At 35.8% G+C, this 27,220-nt stretch overlaps 2 long non-coding RNA genes across 4 annotated transcripts in view, besides 1 other annotated feature; one reads left to right on the plus strand and one right to left on the minus strand.

Annotated features, from left to right (window-relative positions):
* Nucleotides 1-27,220, minus strand: part of LINC01572 (long intergenic non-protein coding RNA 1572) — a 384,069-nt gene that overhangs the window by 139,573 nt on the left and 217,276 nt on the right. For 2 of the 3 annotated variants that reach the window (NR_159371.1, NR_159372.1), the window contains 3 exons: nucleotides 6,916-6,983; nucleotides 5,665-5,796; nucleotides 3,784-4,482 (listed from right to left, as the gene is read on the minus strand). This is a non-coding gene — a long non-coding RNA (long intergenic non-protein coding RNA 1572). Of the gene's footprint in view, nucleotides 1-3,783; nucleotides 4,483-5,664; nucleotides 5,797-6,915; nucleotides 6,984-27,220 lie in introns of those variants that run through there. The other variant, NR_126330.2, reaches the window with a different exon arrangement.
* Nucleotides 1,941-2,110: an enhancer, noted in NCBI's record as "experimental_44094 CRE fragment used in MPRA reporter constructs". NCBI's record gives its function as "activates a minimal promoter by MPRAs in K562 erythroleukemia cells, with activity observed for both the introgressed and non-introgressed 16:72456399 variant alleles {active_cell/tissue: K562}" and the evidence as "EXISTENCE:reporter gene assay evidence [ECO:0000049][PMID:34662402]".
* The window catches only part of LOC124903718 (uncharacterized), a 109,513-nt gene continuing 87,764 nt past the window's right edge, over nucleotides 5,472-27,220 (plus strand). The window contains exon 1 of the long non-coding RNA XR_007065114.1: nucleotides 5,472-9,589. This is a non-coding gene — a long non-coding RNA (uncharacterized LOC124903718). The remainder of the gene's footprint in view (nucleotides 9,590-27,220) is intronic.

Consider the following 27,220-nt stretch of genomic DNA (forward strand, 5'->3'; position numbering starts at 1 on the left):
TAAGCTATAAATTATTTTTAAATGTTTGTAATAATAAAAAAAGTTTTCTAAATTCACCAACATAATTACCATTTCCAAGGACTTTTATTGATGTGGTATAATTTCTCTTTTGCCTGCAGGGCTTCTTCAATATTTCTTGTAGAGCAGGTCTGCTAATGATGCACTCTTTCAGCTTTTGTACATCTGAAAAAGTTTGTTTCACTTTTTTTTTTTTTTTTTGAGACAGAGTCTCACTCTATTGCTCAGGCTGGGGTGCAGTGGCATGATCTTGGCTCACTGCAAATTCCGCCTCTCAGGTTCAAGTCATTCTCCTGCCTCACCCTCCTGAGTAGCTGGGATTACAGGCACGTAGCACATTCTTGCCTAATTTTTGTATTTTTTTTTTTTTTTTTTTTTTTTTTTTAGTAGAGATGGGGTTTCACCATGTTGGTCAGGCTGGTCTCCAACTCCTGACCTCGTGATCCACCTGCCTCGGCCTCCCAAAGTGCTGGGATTACAGGCGTGAGCCACCGCACCTGGCCTCACCTTTGCTTTTAAAAGATATTTTTGCTGTGTATAAAATTTTAATTGAACTTTTTTCTTTTGATACTTTATAGGTGTTTCTCCATTGTCTTCTAGCTTACATTGATTCCAATGTTTTCTGGGTGTTATGGTGGATCATTTCTATGTCTTCACTAATCTCTTCTGAAATATCCAATCTCCTGTCAATCCCCTCTAGTGGTATTCTTAATCTCAGACATGGTAGCTTTTTACTCTCTACAAGTTAAATTACAATCTTTATCTTTCATGTCTCTACTTAACATGTTTCTGCTTTACTCAGTTATGACAGCTGTTTAAATGTCCTCATCCACTAATTCTATCTTCTGTGTCATTTTTAGTCTTGTTTAATTTTCCTCCTTGTTATTGGTAGAAAATATTTTATCTCAGTATGTAGCTTATTTTTTCATTTACTTTTTGCCATTCAAGTAGTAGAAGTTTTCAATTTTGCTGAAGTCCAACTTATCTAATTCATTCGTGGTATAAGTTCTTTCCCTGCCATCTACAGGGAAATCTTTTGCCTAGCCCAACGTCACAAAACTTATGTTTTCTTGAAGAACTATTTTAGTGTTACGTTTTTATTTTATTCTAATACCCCTTTAAGATTAGTATTTGTATAAATAATAAGGAGTGGGTCAAGTCTCTCATTCACATGGTTCCAGCACTGTGTATTAAAATGACTATTCTCTCTACATCAGATTGCCTTTGAATCTTTGCCAAAAAATTGCATGTCAATTTCTGGGCTCTCTAATCTTTTCCAGAGTTCTTTACCTCTATCATTATGTAATTATCACACTGTTTGATTACTGTGGCTTTAAGCAACATTACGAAGCTAATGTGAGTCCTCTAATGTTCTTTTTACAAAATTATCTTAGCTATTCTATTGCTTTTCTTTATACATTTTAGATCAGCTTGTCAATTTCTAGAAAAAGATTGTTGGGTTTTTGATGAAGATTGAATTAAATTTCACTATATATCAATTTAAAGAGAAATTACATTAATAATATTGAGTCTTGCAATCCATGAGCATGGTATTTCTAATTTGTTTCTTCAGTTTATTATAGTTTTCAGTATGTAAACCTTGAACTTATTTTCTTAGGCTTATCCCTAAAATTTCATGCTTTTTAATATTATTATGATGTACTTCTTTTAAAAATTTCTAACTATTTATTGCTAGTGCATTTTTGAATTTTGATTTTGTATCCCATGACATTGCAAAACACATCTATTAGTTCTAGAAACTTTCTCATAAATTTGGAATTTTGATGCAGACAATGATACCATCTGAAAATAAAGATAATTTTATCTATTCCTTTCTAATCTGTAATCCTCTTGTATAGATACCTTTAATTAGGCAAGGGAAGTTACCTATTATTCCTTGTTAGCAAAGATATTTTATCAGGAATGGATGTTAATTTCTATCATTTTTACCCTGCATCCATTGAAATGATTATTAAAATAATAACCTGGTGATATGATGAATTTCATTGATTTTAGTATATTGAACCAACCTTGCATTCTTGGAATAAACTTGGTTTGGTTGTTATTTCTCATTCTTTTGACATATTAGCAAATTTGATTCAATTTGCTAATATTTTGTGCTTTTTGTGTCTGTGTTTATGAGAGTTATTGGTTTGTAATTTTCTATTCTTATACTGTCTTTGTTTTTTGGCATCGGGTAATGCTGACCTCATCAAATGAGTTGGGGGAGTGTTCTTCCCTTTTCTATTTCCTGAGATTGTTTAGAATTGGTATGATTTCTTCCTTAAAGGTTGGTAAAATTTGTCAGTGAAGCCACTGGGCATGGTATTTTCTTTACAGGAAAGTTTTTAAACCACAAAGTCAATTTATTTAAAGACATAAAACTATTCAGGTTTAGTTTACTTGAATGAGTTTTGGTAGTTTGTGTCTTTTGAGGGATTCGTCTATTTCATCTAGGTTATCAAATGTATTAATGAAGTTGTTATTTATTTTTATTATCCACTTAATATATGTCAGCCTTAGTGATTGATATCCAAACTCTTTCATTCTTAGTCTTGGTAATTTGTGTCTTCTCACTTTTTTTTCATTTAGTCTGGCTAGATGTTTACTGATTTTTATAATCTTTGCAAAGAACAAGCTTTTGAGTATTCTGACTTTACTCTTTTTCTATTTTCAACTTCATTGGTTTACGTTCTTATTATTTCTTTCCTTCTTCTTGCTTTGAGTTTAATTTGTTTTCTTAAGACACATATTATTGACTCAAAACTTTCTAGGTTTCTAAAACAAGACACTAAAACTTATTTTCCTAGATGCACATCTTTAGCTGCATCTCAGAAATTTTATTCTCACTTGCATTTAACTAAAAACATTTAAAAAAAATTTCCCTGTGACTGCCTCTTTGACCCATGTCATTTAGAAATGTGTTTAATTTACAAAAATTTGGTATTTTTCTATATATCATTCTGTTATTGATTTCTAGTTTAATTTGTTTGTGGTCAAGAGATGATATTTTGACTTGAATACATTTAAATTTATTGATTTTTTAAAAATGGAACACAATGTGCTCTATTTTAGCAAATGTTTTGTGTGCACTTAAAAATAATTTGTATTCTGCTCTCGTCAGATGGGTCATTTTTCCTGTTTTCTTAAATGGCTATTATTTGAAAATGAAACTTTGCAAAAAGAAGGAACGTCACATAAGGTTGGATTCGGAAATCTGAAGTAGTTATCCATATAAACTTAATGAAGTACCTGTACACATAAATTAATAATAACATAAGAGACTAGGCACCATCAAACGAAAGCAGATAATGAATAAGTTACCTCTTCACATGCTTACCTCTCAATCTGTTCCCAATTGAGCCAATAACCCATTCTCTATACTGTAGTCACACTGGGCTTATTTTTGTTCTTCCAAGTAGACATGTTCTTTTTCTGCATCAGGATTTACTGAATATAATCGCTATCTGAAAAATACTCCCTCTTTTTGTTAAGTTCTCTTCAACTTTCAGACTTGACCTTGAATTCACTTTCTTTAGAAAGTCTTTTTGACGTTCCCTCCAAGGATTATGTCCTCTTTGTTAAGGATCAGTGGTTTGCACTTTCCTGATGGTCTGTACCTCTCTTTCACAGAACTTATGATTATAATGAAAACTATAAGGACAGATTAGACCACATTATCAAAGATGTTATGACTTCTCAAAAGGTTCAGAATCCCCTACTCAAAAAAGTCAGCACAATGAGACACGTAGTGGCCAATTAAACTCACTTAACTAGAATCTGATTTTTACTGGATATAATTTCTCCTGTGAAGACTATTCTGAAAGTAGAATTATAACTTCAGAAGAATATTGATTGTATGAGTATTCCATATCAATATTTAATACATCCATGAGACTATTATTTATAAAATGTTACAGGGCAAACATAAAACCAACCAAAATGAGAAATCCCATTCTTCTGCCTTCTATAGGTCCAGGCAAATATTAATAGATAAGGTGTCTGCTTCTCTAAGACATTCCTTGCTTAAAAAAAGAAAACCCTCATACAAAGAGCAAGTTTGGCTCAAATAACTTTTCTTTTCCAAATTAAATCCAAAATTTAAGGCTTTAGAGTCCAAGTTTCTTGCAAATTTTAGGAAAAAAAATCAATGGGTGAAGGAAGTGAGAGGAAAATCTTTGCCTTTCATGTACATTTGAAATCTTCATTTCTTTTAAATAGCACTTGATGATATTATGAGGGATCACTTACAGAAAAATATATAGCGCTTTCCTGGCAATGGAATCGGAAGAGCTGCCTTCCTCATGCCTCTCAGGCTCACTTTGTAAATTATGTGAAACACTCTTAGACAGACACTGGCACTCATAAATTATACAGTTCATTTGCATATTCTAGTCATGAGACGTTATGCAAAGTGACATGATTTGCATAATGGATTCCTCTTGTCGCTTCACTTGCTGCGTGCTTTTAAAAAACAAAATGAAATAAAATGAAAGCATGAAAAGGTGAAAGCATCAAGTCCCCAGCCTTGCCTGTCTTCTTCCCAACTACAGTATCAGTCGCTTTCATTTTCTAGAGGATTGGGGGGAAAGGGACAAAAAGCCAAGATATACAGACATATAAACAAAGAGCTTTCATACGAATTTTGTTGTTAATTACAATGTACCCACTTTCTCATTGAAATCCTTCACCATAAATAACCCTTTTGAGCCAAGAGACATCAAAACAAAACAAAACACTGAAACAGAAAAACTTTACGGAACTTTTTCTTAAAAAAAAAAACCACCAAACTTCTATGTCTGTAATTTTTAGGGAAGGGGTAAGCCTTTCTTTTTGTACCTAAAAAAAAAAAAAAAAAAAAAAAAAAAAAAAATTTAAGGTACCAGCTATTTATCATTGGGAAAAAAAAGCATATCATGGATGAAAGAGAGGTTTGGTGGAAAGATTTTATCCCTTTCTAGGTGAACTTCTGAATGGTCTTCCTGTTTTGAAAGAGGAACGGAGAAGAAGAAAAACAGGGTGGTGTTTTGATTATTTAACAAAATATATAATGGATACATATATTGTAAAGGATGAGGCAATGCCACGTCGACTTCTATCGGCTCTACTCCAATAAGCAGGCAACGCTCCCTCAGCAGTTGCTAGCTTTGCTGCGGGCTTTCCCTGTTCCCCTGCACCAGTGCGAAAAGCAGAGTGTGCCAAGCGGCTGGCGTCTGTACCCTGTGGGAAAAGTTAACTGTAATTCTTCGGCTTTTAAAATCAATTAACCCGAGTGTTAATTAACGTCAAGTCGACGGGAGGAGGAGAAGAAGAAGGGGAGGGAGGGAGAAAAGAAAAAAGCTGCAAGGGCGGATGGCAGAAGAGTTGGCACCGTGCCATCCATTCAGGGGCAACGCCACAGTTTCGTGTGATAGCAGCAGCGGGTATATGATACGGGGCCCTGTATGCGGGCCAGACAGTGCGGTAAAGCCAAGGGAGATTATCCAGACCCCCAGGAGCGAACAGCAAGCAGCAACCGAAGGCGCAAGTGCCAGGATTACAGCCTAGGCTGCTCCAACTATGAGCCCTTCCTCGGACCCTGGGACTCGGCTACTTGGGGTTTGGGGGTCTTCCACACCACAGAGGCACAAAGCTGACTTTAATCACTTTTTTTCCTTTAAACTTGATTCTGCCGCAGTGGAGCCAGCACAGCGGATGTTTTCACACCCAGCAAGACAAAGGCCGTCGTCTCCGCCATGACACTGTTCCGTTCCAAGCAGAGGCCGGGATTCTGGACTCCTCGAAAAATCAAAAAGAAACAAGGAAAACAAACAACAAATACAGCAACAAACAGAAAAAACTGAAAACCACCAAAATCGTTTGCCCGTTTGCCCGTGCCAGGGGTGATCTGGGCATCTGTTGCAGCAGAAGGCGCTTGTGTGGGGCTAATTTTTCTTTTGGTGGGGGGGACAAGCTGTTGGCTTGTTTGCTATTTCAACTTCGTTTATAATTAACTTAAAAAAAACCCCACCATTCAGCCTAGTCAACAACAAACAAAGAAAAAGCAGACATCGGAAGAGAAATGCCATAGGAAGCGGCATGAATACATGCCACAGCCGGTGCCACTTGCCACTCGGAAAACCTCAGGGAAAGATGCCAATTCTACAGCTGCGAAGAAGGCAGAGAAAGGAGGATAAAGGTCTACAACTAGAAATCATAAGGAAAGAATACTGCTTGTATAATCCTGGATTGCAATTGCACACAGCCTCTGCTGGGAGAAGAGAGGGAATATTTAAATGGAGATATAGATGGGTATAAATTAAAAGATAGGCACCTATCGATTGCGTATAAACACATGTGTAAGGTTGTATGTGTATATAAATATGCATATTTTCAGACAAACGTTTAGATATGTATATATTTTGTGCTACAGGTATGGGTATGTATATAGGTGTATATGTTTATGCATATACACACATATGTAGGATGTATGCATGTGTGAGAAAAAGGAGGGAGAGAGAGGAGAGAGAAGGAAATATGTGTATGTGCATGTATGTGTATGCATACATCCCACTTTTTGACCCAGGTATACACAGAAGACAAAATAAAAATCATACTCCAGCAGCAAGCAGGCAGCCAGAGATTTATCTACATTCACTGCTATCACCAGGGAGATGAATGGGGCCGATCTGAAGCCCTTTTACAAGATCCACTATGGGAGTGAAGGAGGAGGAGGGATGCCACACAGACATGCACAAACTTGAAGGCAGAGCGATTTGGAAGGGGCTACTGAGGAAACACTGGTGGCATAACGCAGGGGAGAAGAAGGGGAAAGAGGCTTGTCTCTCTCTCTCTATGTTTTAGGTGGTTGTTTTTAAAAAATCTGCAAAAGGGTTTCAGGGAACGGCTGGTACTTACGTTGTCTGCGTTGCTGTGGATCCTGAAAGGTGTTCTGTTGGCACCGGGCGCTGAGCCAGGGGCAGGCGCTGGAAACAAAAGGGAGAGACAAAAAAATAAAGTGATTCAATGGGAATATTAATTGCTGCTCTTGTGGATTTTACAAAACACATAAACTGTTTTCTTTTTCTTTCTTAAAAAAAAATGTGGATTGGCGCGTGTCCCTTTTGCATGGAATATACAAGTAGTATGGGATTTACAGCCCAGTTACGGGACTCAGGATTAGCTGCGCTGGCATCTTTTGGGCATATTCTTCCTTTTAATGAATGAGCTTTCGCTGTTAATGAGGAATAATCGTTTGGCTAATGAGCTTTGAAACATTAAGAGAAAAGAGGTTTTTTCCGTTAATCGCTCTGGTGCGACTGCATGGATGGATTACAAAAGACAGCAATAGGAACGCAGTACAAAGGGGGGGACCTCTCCTGCAGTGGGAGAAGCACCGAGATGGGTGATGTGTCCCTGCGTCTTTCCTTCCTTCTCTCTTTCGCTCTCTCTGCCAACTGCTATGGGTTTCCATAACTCTGCAATCAAAGTGGATGGTCGGGAAGGATTATTACACAGAGTGAAGCCTCCGCTGTTAATGTCTCCAGTGTTTAATCATCATACAGTAGAATGGTTTTATGCATATTTCATTTGCATATCATTAAACTGTGTTAGTGAGGGGCATTCAGAACCAGGAGAAGTACAAAGTTGGGGAGAGAGGGAAGAAAAAAAGGTCCCTATGATGCTTATCTTCAAACGGGGACTTGTTCCATGATCTGTCTTCTACTTTTGCTAAAATCATTATGACTTGGAAACCTTTGAAGTTGGATACAACCTTGGATTCTTCTAATTCCTGCAGAGCAGTGTATTTTACAAAACAGCAGAAATGTTCCTGCACTAGACAATTAAAGGAATATAAACTCCAGTGGGCTGAAACTAGTAGCTCTTTGGGGAATGCAGTAGCAGAGGCTTCTACAAATACCAACACTTAAAAATATATAATAAACAGCATCATATTAGAAACAAAGAAAACGAAGACAAGAAATATTAACACGTGGATTATATTTGTTTCTTTTGGGGGGTAATGAACTAAAGAGAATGAAGAAGCCATCGGTAATTTATCCCTTCATTAATGAACAGTCACCTTTTTGTATGTGTTTGTTTTTGTCCTTTCTTTTTGAAGAGGGATGTTGTTACTTTTGAAGCAATTAGTCAATTATTTTGTAGCTCTGATCTTTTCCCCCTGCACCCGACAGGACAGAAAGGTGGTGGTTAGGGAATATGTGAGTACTTGGGGAGGGGGGGACTTGGTGGGGAGAGAAAGAATACAGTGAGTTCTTTGTAGATCTTATACATGCACAACATATTAATTGGGGGCTTTTAAAGCTCCCTCAATGGGCTATTTCATTCCTGGTAAAACAGCAGCTGGTTAGCCACTACTGGTGACTCTTCAAATATTACTTCATTTTTATTCTGTCGCCGTTGTTGTTGTCTTGCTTTGTTTTTCCTCAGTTAAGAATGAAAATGTAGTATCACCCCCTCTTTAGTGAGTCTCTTCTCCATCTTCTTCACTCCAATTTCCAAACTGTAAAACAATGTTGGCTTAATACTGAGTCCTGGTGCACAGTCTAACTGGCACAACTTGATTTGGAAATGAGATGCTGCTTTATATTTAAATTACCCCGGCTCCCCCCTTATCCTCCAAAGCTTTGTCTCTGTTATGAATATGCAGATGAGGCCTGATGTGATTACACTGTACAATTACTCCTATCCATGGTGGTGTCAGGGGCTGCTAGGGAGACAGAGAGTCAGACAGCCTCCAAGCCAATACAGAGTTTTGTTTTCGGTATTTTTCCTATCTCCTTGGCACTGCGGCACATGCAGATGTCGCTGTTGTTCTTTATAAAGCCCTAATGTATGCAAAAGCATAACGATTTGGTTTGGACGCAAAGCATCAACGAAATATTATGGATGTCTTCAAGAAAGGGGGAGAGAAAATCCTGACTGAAGGAATGTCCACATAAATTATTTTTATTTAAATGAATTCAAAGGATGGGATGAGGGCAAGTCAGACGGAGTCGCGTGGAAAACATGAATAATATTAATATGCATAAAGAATTCTCACCAACGAGGAGAAGCTCCTCACTACAGCTCTTGGGACAAACAGGTTCATTAGGAAACAGCTCAGAGCGACTACAGCATTTTGCTATTTCAATTTTTTCCCTTATTTTAAATGAAGAGTCAGACAGATGTGTTTTCTTTGCATGGCAGCATTGAGATGGATCCAATCTGCGAAATTTGCTGCCCAAATAGCATTTCTAATGGAAACTGGAACTAAACAAGGGCACGGATATGGGAGGGAGGGGAGAAGAGAGAATACACGAAGAAGAGTATATTCAGAGCCACTGCATGGCATTTTGAGTACAGGAGGTTTTCAGGAACGATCTTTGCTTCATTAGTCTCCCCTGTGGGCTCCTGATGTAGGGAGCTATCAGGGTATACCAAGATGAGCACTGAGACAGGCCTTTCTAGGTCTGAGGCTGAGGAAAGCAGCGGCAACTTGGTGCCTGTCCCCCAGAGCTGTCTACAGTTCAGAAGCCAAAAGCACAGCTACTTCTAATTTGGGGATGCAGTAGAGTGCCTACTGATCCAGGTATTTGTGAAAGATGGAATTCTTGGTGCTATCATAGTATACATTGCTAAAGAGCAGATGAAATCGGCTGCTTAAGGAGGCCTGATAATATTTATGTTGGTTAATTCTCATGATAATGATAACTGCACTTGTCTAGTATTTTCAGAATGTTAAAATTACCAGTGTGGCTTAATGCATGTTTACAATAAATAGAGAGGGACAAAGAGTGAATGAGCCTATTGGGTGGATTCAAAACTGATAAAATATTTGGACTATTACTCATGGTCTCCAAGGATTAACAAAGAAAGTCAAAGAAGCAGTAGTCGGAAAAAAAGAGATTTTGTTACTTCCCTTGGGCAGGTGGACAGAGTTCAAATTACTTTCATAATTCAGCTAAAAGAATTTTATACTTCAGTTGAAATTACATGAAGACATTTTTGATCTGATATACATATCTGCATAAATTTCTATTATGACATCATAACGTTGACCTGGAACTGGTCTGATTATAAGCATGTTCTAAATACTGTTGCTCTTCACCTATAATCTCTAAAACTTCCATTTATAAGTTTCTTTTAAGACTCCCCCTCCAATAATTTCCAACTGTTACACGATTCTCAACTGTTGGTACAGTGTACAAAACTACAGAGTACAGTGAATTGATGATTATTTGGAGAATGGCTATTTAATCTGAATTATTCATATTTAACCTCTTATACTTTCCATCTCTGTTGCCAGAATTACGGATATAGAATTTTGAAAGAATACATGTAAAGAATTAAGCACAGTATCTGCACATAACAAGCTCTAAATAAGTGTTAGATTTTATTACTGCTATCATTACTATTATTACTTCAGTGTGTTGGTTACCATTTGAGAGAAATAAGGAAAAGAAAATAAAATTCAATTTAAAATTCAACCTTTACTTTCACTATTAAATAGCAATGCAGGTAAAAGGCTGAGTGGAAAAGCATTAAATAGATATTCATGGTGAATAGACTGTGAATGATCTGTAATCAGAAGTCAAACTACAGCTTATGTCAATGCACACTAGACCCATGAAAGAGTTCCATTAAAAATGTATGTATAATTCTGAAATTTTCATGTTGCATGACATGAATAGTCTGATAAGAGAGTTCTATCGTGGTTGGTATGGAGGGTTTTGGGAACTGAAAGGTGCTCATTATTTAACTACAATGATGAAGCAATGCCAACTTTCAGTCTTTTTTTTTACAAAAATAAGTTATATTTTTGAATAAGTAATACATTACAATGAAGTATCAATAATTTAAATAATGTAGAAAGGAAAAGGTCTCTGTCTTTTCCCTCTTCTACCCATGAGTTCCTCACCCAACCCCCAAATAAGTAATCACTGTTACTGTTTTCTTGTTCATTCTACCAGCTATTAATATATTAAGAAGATATTAATATAGTCTCTCTCCTATATCTTACACAAATGATACTTTTTACCAATATTCCTTAGAATTTTCTGTCAACACAATAAGTTCATTTGTGACTAGACAGCTTCATTTCCAGTAATCGTGCCAATTATTCCTTTTTCCTTATTTCATTGGTGAGGACATCTAGTACGATGTTGAATAGAAGTAGTGATAGGTGAGTGTAAACATCCTTACCTTGTTTGCAATCTTAGGGGATGTCACTGTCTTGTTCATGGTCTTAGGGGAAGAAGAATTCAGCCTTTCATTACTAAGAATTATGCCCTTTATCATGTGAAAGAGGTTTCCTTCCATCCTTAGCTAACAATTTTTCAAAAAATCATGAATGGTTATTAAATTTTGTCAAATCATTTTCAGCCTCTATTGAAACAAATAACAGCTTAAAGCTGTGAGTATAGTGAATTACAATGACTGATTTTCATATGCTAAACCAACCTGGCAATCCTGGGACAATGCCCCATTGATCATGATATATTAATCTTTTTGTATATTGCAATAATTGACCTGCTAACATTTTGTTAAGAATTTTTGAATCCATGTGCATGAGAGACATTAGTCTATAATTTTTTGGGGGATGTAATAACTTTGACATTGTTATCAGGGTCTTGCTAATAGCATAGAATGAGTTGGAGAGTGTCTCCCTCCTCTATACTCTGAAAAAGTTTGTATAAGATTATTATTTTGTCCTTAAATGCTAAATTCAATTAATCAGTAAAGCTATGAGGCCTGGGGATTTCTTTGTGGACAGTTTTCATATAACAAATTCAATTTTTTTTTTTTTTTTTTTTTTGAGACAGAGTCTTACTCTGTCACCCAGGCTAGAGTGCAGTGGCATGATCACAGTTCACTGCAGCATCAACTTCCTGGGCTTAAGTGATCCTCCCACCTCAGCCTCCTGAGTAGTTGGGACTACAAGTGTATGCCACCACACCTGGCTAATTTGTTTTTATTTTTATTTTTTGTACAGACAGGGTCTCACTTTGTTGCCCAGGCTGGTCTTGAAGTCCTTGCCTCAAGCGATCCTCCTGCGTCAGCCTCCCAAAGTGCTGGTATTACAGGCATGAGGCATTGTGTCTGGCCTACAGATTCAATTTTAGAAAAATGATCTTGGATTATTCAGATTTCTAATTTATGTTAATTTTGGTAAGCTGGGGTTTTCAAAGAATTTGTCTATTTCACCTTAGTTATCAAACTGATTGGAATACATTTGTTAATAATATCCTATTATCCTTTTTCTTATCTGTCAGAATTTTGGTGATGTCCTTATTTCATTTGTGATATTGGTGATTTGTTTTTTTCCTTCAGCTTTTTAAAATCAATTTTATTAATCTTTTCAGAGAATCAATCTGATTGTTAATTTTTTTATTTCAACTCCCAATTTTATAATATCCTTTCTTCTATTTACTTTGAGTTTAATTTGCTTCTCTTTTTCTAGATTCATAAGGCAGAATCTTAGATAATTTTACACTTTACTTCCTATAACAGATGTGTAAAGTGATATATTTTCCTCTAACAACTGCTTTAGCTGCATCACACACATTTTCATAGGATGTGTATTCATTCTCATTTAGTTGAGATTAAAAAAAAATTCCCTTGTCATTTTTTAAACATGTTAAGTATATTATTTAATTTCTAAATATTTGTTTTTTTTCTAGGTATCTTATTACTATAAATTTCCAACTTAATACCACTGTTTCAGGGAAAATATTCTATGTAATTCCAACTCAAGACTTGTATGCCCCAACATAAAGTCCATCTTTCTGAAATTCCATGTGCATTTGAGAAGAATCCACTGTTGTTCTGCTGTTGTTGATTTTCTCAGTTAAACATTTGATTTCCATTCAGTTAATTTTTGTTCTTATTATTTTTTGCCTTCTACTTTCTTTGGGCTTCATTTTACATTTTGTTTCTAGCTTCTTGATGAGATATTTATATCATGATTTTTCAGCTTTTTTTCCTTTTAAACATGTATTTAAAGGTTATACATTTTCCTCTAGGAACAGCTTTAGATAGAACCCCAGGTTTTCACGTCATGTTTTGATTATCATTTGGTTCAAAATACTTTCTAATTTATACCATAGTTTCCTCTTTTGCCTATAGGCTATTGGATTCGTCTTTTATCCAGTCTAACAACTTGTCTTTCAACTGCAAAATTGAGTCAATTTACATTTAACATAATTACTGATATATTTTGCATTATATACATATCATCTTATTGTTTCCTATATGTTCTGCCTGATTTACGTTCTTCAAAATCTTTTTTGCATCATTTATAATTAATCAAGTCCTTTTCTTATTACATTTTTTCTCTTTTAGTTTGGTAGTAACACATTATTTTACTATTAAGTGGTACCCTAAATATTGCAACATACATCTCGGACTCACTATAGTCTATTATAAATTGGTACTTTTGTCACTTCCCAGACAATGCTAGAACTGAAATTGGTATTGTTTTGTTTACTTCCTCCCACCTTTTGTTATTATTGACATGCATCTCATCATTCATATATTTTAAGTCTCGCAAGATATTTTCATTTTTCTATTTTGCAGTCAAGATTCATTCAGACTCACTCACATATACACCTTACGCACTGCTCTGTGTTTCTTCTTCCATTTTGACATTTCCTTCTGAGGTCATGTTTCTTCTACCTAAATAACTCCCTTTGGTGTTTCTTTTAGGTTGGGTATGCTGCTGATAAGTTCTCTCAGTTTTTGTTTTCTTACAGTTATTTTCATCTTCAATTTTCAAGTATATTTTCATGGAGCACAGAATTCTAGATTGGCAGTTATTTTCTTTCTGCTTTTAAAAGATGTCATTCCATTGTCTTTTGAACGCCATCATTTCGTTGAGAAGTCAGCTGTCAGTCTTATTGCTGCTTCCTTCAAGTAGCATGCCTTCTTTTTTTGTCTTCACTTAAGATTTTCTCTTTCAACTTCAGAAGTTTTACTAATGTGCCTAGGTGTGATTTTCTTTGTATTTATCCTGCCTGGGATATCTATGGCTTAATATCTTTCCTCTTTTTGGAAATTGTTAGTCCTTAGCAGTTTGAAAATTACCTACTGCAATCTTTTTTTACCTTGTAGGATTCCAATTACACATACATTAAATATTTTCAATGTATCTCCTATGGGCTTTATGCTGTTTATTTTCCAGCCTTTTATCCCTTCATGTTTTGGTTTCAGCATTTTTTAACTGATCTAGCATACTCAACAATTCTCTCTTTATTTCTAATCTGCTATTAAGCCTATTTATAAATGTCTTAATTTAAGTTGCTGTATTTTTCAGTTCTTGAATATACATTTAATTCTTCTTTTGTAAGCTGCAGTTCTTTTGTTCTCCAACATATTATCATTTTAGAGCTATTTAAGAGCCATATCTGATAAGTATATCTGATCCACTTCACTGTGGATCTGTTTCTGCTGTCTGCTTTTTTCCCCCGTTTTGGTCCTGTGTTTTGCTATTCCTAGAAAGTACTGAATGGATGCCAGATATTGTGTGTGAAAAATTTTAGAAGTTCTGGAAGATATCTTCTTTTGAAGAAAAATTACCATATCACCTGGGAGGTAGCAGGATAGAACAAGGGCAGATTACCTCAATCCAATAAAAGAGTAAATTGGCTTTGAAGCTAGGTTATAGTCTTTTTAAGACTTACGTTGCATCTGGTTCATCTCATCTCTTAGGTCCCATTTCCTTGACAGACCCTGACCCCTGATTTTTGTCTTCCCAGCACTATGAGATTACTGAAAGCTCTACTGGGCTTTCAGTAGATTTCGCCTTAGGATCTTATTCTGGAAAAGACAAACCGAAACTCTGAGCTATACTCTTATTAAAAAATCTCTCTGAAATAATACCATCAAAAAAGTGATGACATTTGTTCTTTGTGAACCTGTATTTATTCCTAGTAATGAAACTGAGAATAATTTCTCCTCTGATTCAGACTTTTGGCATCCCTCCCAAACTGCATTTTTTTTAAATCTGCAATTCCTTAAGCTTAACTGCAGATGTAATTCTTCAGGATCAATGGCAAATTATCACAGTACCTATGAAAATAATAAGCGTGGGACAGGAGACTTGAATTCCAGTAATGAGTTGTTCTCTTTCAATCTATGTGACTGATCCTGTGCTGCAATCCTCACTAATCAATGCTAGTTTTGTCCTTTCCTACCCTAGAGGCTATTCTTCTTGACAGAGAAAGAGAATCTGAATAATAATTCTCTCTCTCTCCCCTTCCTTCTCTCACTTTTAGTAATCTCTCTCTCTCTCTTTATTTACTTTTTGAGACAGAGTCTCACTCTGTCACCCAGGCTACAGTGCAGTGGTGCAATCTCAGCTCACTGCAACCTCCACCTTCAGGATTCAAGTGATTCTTGTGCCTTGGCCTCCCAAGTAGCTGGGATTATAGGCACACAAAAATTGCCACGCCTGGCTAATTTTTGTATTTTTAGGAGAGATGGGGTTTCACCATATTGGCCAGGCTGGTCTCAAACTCCTGACCTCAAGCGATCCACCCGTGTTGGCCTCCCAAAGTGTTGGGATTACAGGTATGAGCCACTGTGCCCAGGCCTCATTTAGTAATCTCTTAACAGGACATGAAAATCCTGCAGCGCAAGTCTCTTTCTTTCACTTTTCCCTAGAAGCAACCCACAAATTCTTGCCCTTATATGCTCCTCCTTATATTTTAAATATAATCATTTATACCTAAATTTAATATGAAATCACATTGGTCTTCTTTACATTTCCCTCTCCCCCATTTCCTGAAAAGGGGGGTATTATTTTATTCATCAATTACAGACAAACACACTGCTACTTTAAAGACTGGTTGCAATATAAGCAATAAGTCAATAACTATACAATGTGATATGTGTTAGGTGCAATTTTAGTGTTATTTTGTTATTTCCATTTTTTTTTAGCTTTCTTCTTCTTCTTCTTTTTTTTTAGAGATTATGTCTATGAAGTTATATTTACCCGTTGTCTGAAGGTTTTCAAAATCTGCCTTATAACGTCTATGGTAACACTGTCCAAAAGAACTTTCGGAAACTATGGAAATGTGATTTCTAATAGGGTAACCAATAGCTAGTACAATGGACCAAATCTTTCATTTAATTTTAATTTATTAAATTTAAATAGTCACATGTGGCTAGGGGTGACTATTGTTCTATTTGTTTTTAACCTATAAGTTCTTAGGTGTTGATCAAAATTAGGTTCATATAGTTTCCCTATAATTTCTTTCATCTATTGAGGATGCAGATTATTAGCAAGGCAAGGCAAAAATATGCCCAAAATTCAACTTTTAGTAAAATGGATTTTGAGAATGTATTTGAATAGCTGATACACATGATTATTATATCCTGAGTCTATACTTTTTAAAAGGATCTGAATCAGGATTTCTAGAAATATACTACTTATTTGACCAAGCAAATTATAGCATATCCTTTTGAAGCAATTACTTCTGATCTCTACTTTTATGCTTACCCAGGTGCTTTCTATCATGTTTCTTCTCAAATTCAGCTCCCAACTGCCATTGTATAGTCATTTATGAATGCCGTGTCTAGTCAAGAATGCAATCTCATGAAAGAGAATGCAACTAAATGGCCAACTTTGAGATTAACACAAAACTTGTAACTAATTATTACAATGCTTATGTGTGCTTCTATATATGTGCAGATAGATACATACATAATGCATGTATTTTATAGATTTGCATGAAGTAGAAACAACATTTTCCAGAAGGATGAAATAAATGATTAAATTTAAAGAATTCAGTGTAAAGAATTTAGTTTTATGAAGTGAGGGATGTCCTGTATTAAGAATTAATTACAGGCTGGGTATGGTGGCTCACACCCACAATCCTAATACTTTGGGAGGCCAAGGCAGGTGGATCACCTGAGGTCAGTAGTTTAAGACCAGGCCTGGCCAACATGATAAAACCCCGCCACTGCTAAAAATACAAAAATTAGCCGGGTGTGGTGGCACATGCCTGTAATCTCAGCTACTCAGGAAGCTGTGGCAGGAGAATCGCTTGAACCTAGGAGGCAGAGGCTGCAGTGAGCCAAGATCACGTCACTGCACTCCAGTCTGAGCAACAGAGCAAGACTCTGTGACAAAAAAAAAAAAAAAAAAAAAAAAAAGGGCCGGGCACGGTGGCTCACACCTGTAATCCCAGCACTTTAGGAGGCTGAGGCAGGCAGATCATGAGGTGAGGATATCAAGACCATCCTGGCTAACATGGTGAAACCCCATCTCTACTAAAAATACAAAAAATTAGCTGGGTGTGGTGGCACACACCTGTAGTCCCAGCTACTTGGGATGCTGAGGCAGGAGAATCGCTTGAACCAAGGAGGCAGAGGTTACAGTGAGCAGAGATCGCGCCACTGCACTCCAGCCTGGGTGACAGAGCAAGACTCCATCTCAAAAAATAAATAAATAAATACATAAAAATAAGAATTACAGAAGAATATTTAAAAGTTTCCATTGGTCTTAAAAAAATAAAGAATAGCATTTAATAGAATCAGATGTTATCTGAAAGTAAATGAAACTAGAGAAATAACATGTGGACTCTCATAATATCTCCCAAATTTGAGTATTGTGCAATATGTGTGTTCAATGCATATATGAAATATATGAACTGATTTCTAGATAAGCATTTAAATATTTTTCTAATGAAATATGTTTGTCCATATTTTAGTGGATCTCAATGTGAAGGGATGATAGTTCAGGTTTTGGAATAATACAGACCTAGGAATTCTGTAATATATAGCTCTAATTATGATGTTTCCTGGCCTCAAAAATAAGTTAGCAGCTTTCCCATGATGTCTTTTTGATAGTATTTCAAGAGATTAAAGGTGCCAGTCAACATTATTTAAGAATGTCCTCCTTTAAAAACTTTAATTGTAAAAAATTTAAGATTTGAAACAGATAATTAGAGAATTAGTCACGTTACAAATGGATTCTTTACTTGTTACAGGCTTCACCCAGAATTAACAAGCCTCTATGGGCATTAAAAATAGTATTATGTTTTTACATTTTTTTTGTAAAATTACTTACAAATTTTCAGGAATTTTTTTTTTATCACACAGAATAAGATATACCTGTCTTTGGGATAAAAATACATAACTATCAACACAGTTATAATAAAAGTGCTTCATATTAATTCCCATTATAATTATACCTTATATTTGTCTAGGACTTTACAATGTACAAAGCACTTTCACATACACTGTTTCTTTTAAAAGAAAGGCATCACAAGAAAGTGAACTGATACAATTTTTGTTTTCAATGAATAGTGGCACTCTTAAAATGGAGATAGAAACCATGCCTATCACGTTATAACAACAACAAAACACATTTTGCTGAGCTTCTCAAAAGGAGGTATGGCAAAGCATAGGTTCTGGAATCAACAGGACATATAATGGGATCCTAATTTTACTTACTTACTAGCTGTGTGACTTTGAGCAAGCTACTTAACTTGTCTGTACTTCATTTTCCTCATCTGTGAATCCAGAATTTGGACCTCATAGAGTCAGATTAAATGAAAAACATTTTACATATCCTAAAGCAACGCACAGAATTGCTATGATACTAGGTATATAGTAGGAACTCAATAAATAAAGATGATAATGAAAATAATGTTACTTTTATTATTAAGATGATCTATTTTCACTGATCTTCATAATCTTTCAACAAAACATACTACACAAAGTAAATAATTAGATATGACAATGACTGATCTTAGATCATAGATCAGGTGAGGAAGAAAGGTGAAAGTCTATTTTGGAAGCAGATGAGACACTACACCATGGGAAATGGAACTCACTAGAAAAAAATCGAGGTTACACCTAAACTAGTTTAAATTTATGATATTTAAACAGGGTAGAAACTTATACTAAAGGCATCACAGGCAATTTTGCTTTAAGGAGAGTAAAATGGAAGCCCGTTTGTGATGTGCATGTTAAATGAAAGAAAACAGAATCATATCTGTAAAATAAGAAGTAATATCATATAAAGTGAAGAGGGGTACAGGGAACATAAGGCTAGAATAGTTTAATTTGTATAAGCATATTAGCTCACTTAGATTGATCATACAAGGATAAAAGATTGACCTGAAGTTTGGCATAAAAAAACTCTCTGCTCCTAAGCAAAAGACCCTAATGAGTCTCCTTACAAACGTGTGCTGTCAGTTAAACAAGGAGCCTCAACTTAAAGTGTTTACTGCTTAAAGTAGCCCATCACTATTATTATATAAACAATTGAAATTATAGGCCCTATTTACATAAAGTTAATATCATCTTTGCATTAACAACATTTGCTGATTGTTGAATTTGTCTTGAAGTTCTTCTTTCAGAGTGGAACATTTACTCAGAAAATTAACATTATTTAGGGTCTACTGCAGGCATATCTCAGAGATATTGCAGGTTTGGTTCCATACCACCACAACAAAGTTAATATTGCAATATAGTGAGTAGCACGAATTTTTTTTGTTTCCCAGTGCATATAAAAATTATGTTTACACTATACTGTATAGTCTAGTAAGTGTACAATAGCATGTCTGAAAAGTGTGCATACCTTAATTTAAAAGACCTTATTGCTAAAAATTGCTACCAATCATCTGAGGCTTCAGTGAGTCATAATCTTTTTGCTGGAGAAGGGTCTCGTCTCGATGTTGATGGCTGCTGACTGATCAGGGTGGTGGCTGCTGAAGGTTGGGGTGGCTGTGGCAGTTCCTTTTTTCTTTTCTTTTCTTTTTTTTTTTTTTTTTTAGACAGAGTCTTGCTCCATCTCCCAGGCTGGAGTGCAGTGGCACGATCTCGGCTCCCTGCAACCTCCACACCCAGGGTTCAAGCAATTCTTGTGACTGGACTGTGGCAGTTTCTTAAAATGACACAACAATGAAGTCTGCTGTGTCAATTGACTCTTCTTTTCATGAAAGATTTCTTTGTAGCATGTGTGCTGTTTGACAACATTTTCCCTACAGTACGATGTCTTTCAAAATTGGACTCAATCCTCTCAAATCCTGTTGCTGCTTTGTTAACAAAATTTATATATTATTCTAAAACCTTTGTTGTCAATGTCAACAATGTTCACAGCAGACTCCATCTCAAGATGGAGTAGATTCCATGTTAAGAAACCACTCTCTTTGTTTATTCATAAGAAGCAACTCCTTATCCACTCAAGTTTTATCATGAGATAAAACTTGGGAATATTTTGAAAGGAATCTTTTTTTCTGAGCAGTAGGTCTCAAAAGTCGGCTTAAAATATTCAGTAAACCATGCTGAAAGCAGATATGCTGTCATGTAGGTTTTGTTATTCCATTTGTAGAGAACAGGCAAAGTAGATTTAGCATAATTCTTAAGGGCCCCAGGATTTTTGGCACGGTAAGTGAGCACTGGCTTCAACTCAAAATTACCAGCTGACCCTAACAAGAGAATCAGCCTGTACTTTGAAGCTCTGAAGCAAAGCATTAACTTCTCCTTTCTGGCTATTAAAGTCGCAGATGGCATCTTCTTCCAATAGAAGGCTGTTTCCTCTACATTCAAAATCTGTTGTTTAGCGTAGTCACTTTCATCAATTATCTTAGCTAGATATTCTGGGTAACTTGCTGCAGCTTTACCATCAACACTTGCTGCTTCACCTTGCACTTTTATGTTATGTAGATGGCTTCTTTCCTTAAACCTCATGAACTAACCGCTGTAAGCTTTAAATTTTTCTTCTCCAACTTCCTTGCCTCTCTTGGCCTTCACAGAATTGAAGAGTTAGGGCTTTGCCCTGGATTAGGCTTTGGTTTAAGGGAATGTTGTGGCTAATTTGATCTATTCAGACCACCAAAACTGTCTCCATTATCAGCAATGAGGCTGTTTCACTTTCACTACTTCACTGGAGTAGCATTTTTAATTTCCTTCAAGAATTTTTCCTTTGCACTCCCACTTGACTAAGTGTTTAGTGCAAGAGGTCTAGCTTTTGACCTATCTTCACTTTTTACATGCCTTCCTCACTAAGCTTAATCATTTCTAGTTTTTTATTTACAGCGAGAGATATGTGACTCTTTTTTTCACTTGAACACTTTTTAGAGGCTATTGTTGGGTTATAAATTGGTCTAACTTCGATATTGTTGTGTCTAACATCCATATGGTCTTAGGGAACAGGGAGGCCTGAAGAGAGCAACAGAGATGGGGGAATGCCCACTTGCTCAAGCAGTCAGAATACACACAACATTGATAATTTAAGTTAGCCATCTTATATGAGCATAGTTCATAGCATCCCAAAACAATTACAATAGTAACATCAAAGATCACTGACCACAGAACACCGTAATAGACTGAAAAGTTTAAAATATTGAGAGAATTAACAAAATGTGACACAAAGTGAGCACCACAGACTTGCTCACCCAGGGTTGCCACAAACCATCAATTTGTTAAAAAAAAAAAAAAACCAACACAATATCTGTGAAGTGCAGAGGAGGGTAATAAAACAAAGTAAACCTGTATATGTCAGGTGTTCATATAAACTGCATAATTTTTATGCCCATATTACAGGTAAAAAAGCGTAGGTGAAAAGCTTAAAGTAATAGCTAATACATCACGGAAGTAGCATATAAATCAAGATTTTCAAACTTGGAAACAAATGTTCTATCCCCACTCTCCCCACGAATTTTCCAAGATCAAATGTACCTGATTAATGGTAGCACTGAAGAAATGTTATTTGTTCTGGTTTCTCCAATTTTTCCTCCCTGCCTTAGCACAAGGGAGTTCACAATTTGTAGGGTTTTATAAATTATATTGAAATACCATAGACAAATAATAGTAGCTTGCTTGAAAACACACTAACAGCTGTGCAGGGCACACAACAAGCACTCAATAAGCATCTGACTTATCCAACTTAAAAAATGAGACATTAAATATTGAAAAATTATTTCATGGCACAGAAAGCACATCAGCCAACATTAAAAAATCAAGTACACAGTTATAAAGATGGGCACACTAAGGTGTTGGTATATTATCCCTGACTATTTTTTATGATTCCCCTAGACAAAGGATGTCGAGCAAAGAGGGAACCATATTTGTCCATTGTAAACATTTAGTCTAGAGATTTAAAGGCTGTTTTGCACACTGAGTCTATAGAGAGACAGGCGATTGCTCTCTGTCACAATTTCAAAGTCCATCTTCTTTACCTCATCAATTTGCAGCTTAGTAGGGGTGAGGATGAGGGAAGAGTTATATTGTACTCCCAGAAGTAAGGGGCTGTTTTCCTGCCTGTCATTCTACCAACCTCCCAGAATAAATTGCTACTTAGAAAAAGGGAAGTCAAACATTTGTGAAACATATTGCTATTTAGAAAAAAAGAGAATTGTTTTGCAAATAGTAGCACTATTAAAAGAGCAGAGAGAGAATAGCATCAGTCATTTTATATTACATATAAGCAGTTTATTAAAGAATTAAATATTTATAGACTATAAAGCAAGCAGGCGATGAGTCACAAACAGCTTGCTGAGAAGTACATTATAAAACAATGAGTCTGTCAGTGATTGATAAAGAACGGAGAACGCAAATGCTTTATAAATTCCCTAAGTTAGCTATGAATTTCCAGACCAGAAGAAAAGGACACAGTAGCCAGCAATGTCACACCAACTCTAGCTGATGTATATGCCAAAAGCTTTCAGTGAACAAAAAGTACACTTCTCTTTGATTCGTCCACCTCCATCTAATGTAGAGGAAAGAGCTGCAAAGCACAGAGAACTGCAAGGGCTTTATGGATGCTCACTTCCAAGTTAATAGATGTTAGATTTAGATATCCATATAACTCATTTTATTTTCTTCTGACTTTTTTCTTATTAGATAATAAAGTCCATATAATTTCAAAGAAAGATATCCCCCTTCTTTTCAGAATCATATGCATTAGAGACCAGATCGCCTAATCTAATTCTATCAAGTTAGAGTGAAAGCAACTAGGACTTAAAGGTGTAAAGTTACTGATCCAAGTTCACATAGCTGGTTAATACCAGAATTAGGTTTAAAACTTGGGTCTCCTATCTCCTTGATCAATATTCTTCCCATAGTATCACCTTCTTTCCCCCAATCCCTTTTTAAAATGAAAATTCTGAGCTTTTGCTATTCACAACCATTCATCGGTTAGAAATTGTGAATTCTTTCTCTCATAAAATTATATTTCAATTCAGTTTAGATGATGATTTTAGGAGAAAAAAAGCTTTAAGTGGATAAAACTTTATATCTTCTCTGAGAGAAACAAAATATAATCTGCCTCTCCATAGTCGTTCTAGAGTTTGAGATAATAGGATGCTATTAAGAAAATGTTGGCTCTTTCTTGAGGAAAGGCTTTCTTTTATGCATTAACTACTTGGGAGGATGAATTTTCATTCTTTATGAGAATGACTGGTCAAGACCTAAAGGTGTTGCTAATCTTAAATGCCAAAAGAAGTCATCTCTCCTTGACTTTGTGAGTCATAGCTTCTATGTGTTCTGGATACAGTACTTTGGAATTCCATCCTTTTCTATTCTCTGTCTTCAAATTTAAACAGTCATCTGGTTTCCATATAGTTGAGCTTGAAGTTCCACTTGCAAACTCGACAGAGACACATTGTGAGTCAAATAAAATTATGAATCAAATCCTTTGTACCTTGTACAGATGCTAAAGCACTGAGTAGTAGAAATCAAACCACTGATGCCCCTGCCCATAACCCTACCATTATTTTTTTGGTAATACTTGAATTTCTATGAAACTATATCCAACCAGAAAATCTATTTGATTACATTAGATGCTTCTTTTTAACTTTATTGAGGCATGGTTGGCATATAAAAAGCTGCACATATTTAATGTATATATCTCAATGAGTTTGAGGAGAAGTATACACCCAAGAAACCACTACCATTATCAAGGTCATAAGCATATCCATCACTTCCTCAAGTTTTCTCACGCCTGCTTTACCATTATTATTGTTATTGTTTTTGGTGTGTGTATGGTAAGAACACTTAACATAAGATCTACTCTCCTAGCAAATTTGCCTACGGGCATCATGTTATATGGTAGATCACCAGAACTTAACTTATTTTGTATAAGTGAAACTTTGTACCCATTAACCATAACCTCCCTCTTTTGCCCTCTCGACGGCCTGTGGCAACCACCATTCTACTCTCTGTTTCTGTAACTTCTACTTCTAAAGATTCTACATTTAAGTGAGATTACACAGTATTTGTCTTTCTGTGCCTGCATTACTTAGCATAATGCACTCCAGGTCAACCCATGTTGTTACTGACAGGATTTTCTTCTTCTTCTTCTTTTTTTTTTTTTTTTGTTAAGGCTGAAAAATACTACATTGTATTTATATGTCATAATTTATCTATGCATCTGTTGGACATTTAAATTGTTTCCACATCTTGACTATTGTGAATCATGCTGCAATGAAGACGGAAGTGCAAATATCTCTTGGACACTGGTTTCATTTCCTTTAGATATACTCAGAAGTGAGATGGCTGGGTCATATGGCAGTTCTATTTTTTAATTTTTTCAGAAAATTCCATATTTTCCATAATAGCTGTACCAATATACATTCTCACTAACAGTATACAAGGATTCCCTTTTCCCCATATCCTTGCCAATACTTGTCATCTGTTGTCTTTTTTGTAATAGCCATCTTTTTTTTAAAATTATACTTCAAGTTCTGGGATACATGTGCAGAATGTGCAGGTTTGTTACATAGGTATACACGTGCCATGGTGGTTTGCTGCACGCATCAACCCATCATCTACATTAGGTATTTCTCCTAATGCTATCCCTCCCCTAGCCCCCCAGCACCCAACAGGCCCCAGTGTATATCCCCTTCCCTGTGTCCATGTGTTCAACTCCAACTTACGAGTGAGAACCTGCAGTGTTTGGTTTTCTGTTCTTGTGTTAGTTTGCTGAGAATGATGGTTTCCAGCTTCATCCATGTCCCTGCAAAGGACATGAACTCATCCTTTTTTATGGCTGTACAGTATTCCATGGTATATATGTGCCACATTTTCTTTATCTATTATAATAGCCATCTTAACAGGTGTTAGGTGATAGCTCATTACAGTTTTGATTTGCATTTCCCTTATAATTAGTGGTGTTGAGCATTTTTTCATATACCTGAAAAGTTATTTGTATGTTATCTTTGGAGAAATGTTTATGCAGGTCCTTTGCCTATTTTAAAATCAGGCTATTTCATTTTTGCTATCAATTGTGTAATTTCCTTTTACATTTTAGATATTAGCCCCCCCTTTTTTGAGAAAGGGTTTCACTCTGTTGCCCAGGCTGGAGTGCAGTAGTGTGATCTTGCCTTACTGCAGCCTCTACCTTCCCAGGCTCAGGTGATCCTACCACAGCCTCCCGAGTAGCTGAGATTACAGGCATGCACCACCATGCCGGGATAATTTTTGTTTTTGTTATAGAGACAAGGTTTCACCACATTGCCCAGGCTGGTCTCAAACTCCTGGACTCAAGTGATCTGCTTGCCTTGGCCTCCAAAAGTGCTGGAATTACAGGTGAGCCACTGCACCCAGCTACCCTTTATCAGATACATGGTTTGCAAATCTTTTCTCCCAATCCGTAGGTGGCCTTTTCATTTTGTTGATTGTTTCTTTTGCTGTGCAGATGCTTTTTAGTTTGATGCAGTCCTACTTATTTTTGCTTTGTTGCCTGTGCTTTTGGTGTCATATTCAAAAGATAATTGCCAATACCAATGTCAAGGAGCTTTTGTCTTATGTTTTATTCTAGGAGTTTTATAATTTCAGGTCTTATGTTTATGTCTTAAATCCATTTTGAGTTGATTTTTGTGTATAGTGTAATATAAAGGTCTAATTTCATTCTTTTTCATGTGGATATCCCATTTTCCCAACACCATTTATTGAAGAGACTAATTTTTTTTCCTGTGGTGTATTCTCAGCACTCTTGTGAAAAGTTAGTTTACTGCATATATGTGGGTTTATTTTTGGGCTCTTGATTCTGTTCCTCTGGTCTATGGGTCTGTTTTTATGCCAGTACTAAATGCTGTTTTGATTACTATAGCTTTGTAACATAATTTGAAATTAGGAAGGGTGATATCTCCAGCTTTGTTCTTGCTCAAGATTGCTTTGACTATTTGGGGCCTTTTGTGCTTCCAAGTGAATTTTCAGATTGGGTTTTTATTTCTGTGAAAAATGTCATTGAAATTCTGATAGGGATCACACTGAATTTTACATTTTAACAACATAAATTCTTCCAATCCACAAACATGATATATCTTTCATTTTCTTTGAGATATCTTTTCATTTCTTTCATCTACCTCAATTTCTTTAATCAGTATTTTATTGTACTACATTGTACAATACAATGTAGTATAATAAATACAGGTGAACACATCTTTCACCTCCTTGGTTACATTTATACCTAAGTATTTTATTCTTTTTTGATGTTATTGTAAATGGAATTGTTTCCTTAATTTCTTTTCCAGAAAACTTGTTGTTAGTGATATAAATACAACTCTATTAATTCCAGCAACTTTATTACTTTTATTAGTTCTAACAACTCTTTGGTGGATTCTTTAGGGTTTTTTTTTTTTTTTTTTTTTTGAAATAAGGTAAAGTTATCTACACACAGAGACAATTTTGCTCTTCTCTTTCTGATTTGGATGGATTTTCCCCCCTAACTGCTTTAGCTAGGACCTCTAGGCACTGTGTTGAAAAAAGTGGCAAGAGTGGGCATCCTTGTCTTGTTCCTGATCTTGCAGGAAGCCTTTCAGTTTTTCATCACTGAGTAGGATGCTAGCTGGGGCTTGTCATACATGGCTTTTATTATGTTGTGGTACATTCATTCTATACGTAGTCTATTGAGAGGTGTTTTTTTTTTTTTAAATCAGGAAATCATGTTGAATGTTATCAAATGCTTTCTCTGCATCTATTGAGATGATCATATGATTTTTATATTTCATTCTGTTAATGTGGTATATTACTTTTACTGATTTGTGTAGGTTGAACCATGACTGGATCCCAAGGATGAATCCCACTTGACAATGGTATATAATCTTTTAAATGTGCTGTAAAATTTAGTTTACTAGTTTTGTTTTTAGTATTTTCACATCTATGTTCGTTACAAATATTGGCTAGTAATTTTCTTTTCTTGCAGTGTCCTTGTCTGGCTTTGGTATCAGGGTAATGCCGGCCTTGTAGCATGAGTTTGGAAGTGTTC

The sequence above is a fragment of the Homo sapiens genome, chromosome 16 (genome assembly GCF_000001405.40).
Source record: "Homo sapiens chromosome 16, GRCh38.p14 Primary Assembly".
In the NCBI taxonomy this organism is placed as follows: Eukaryota; Metazoa; Chordata; class Mammalia; order Primates; family Hominidae; genus Homo; species Homo sapiens.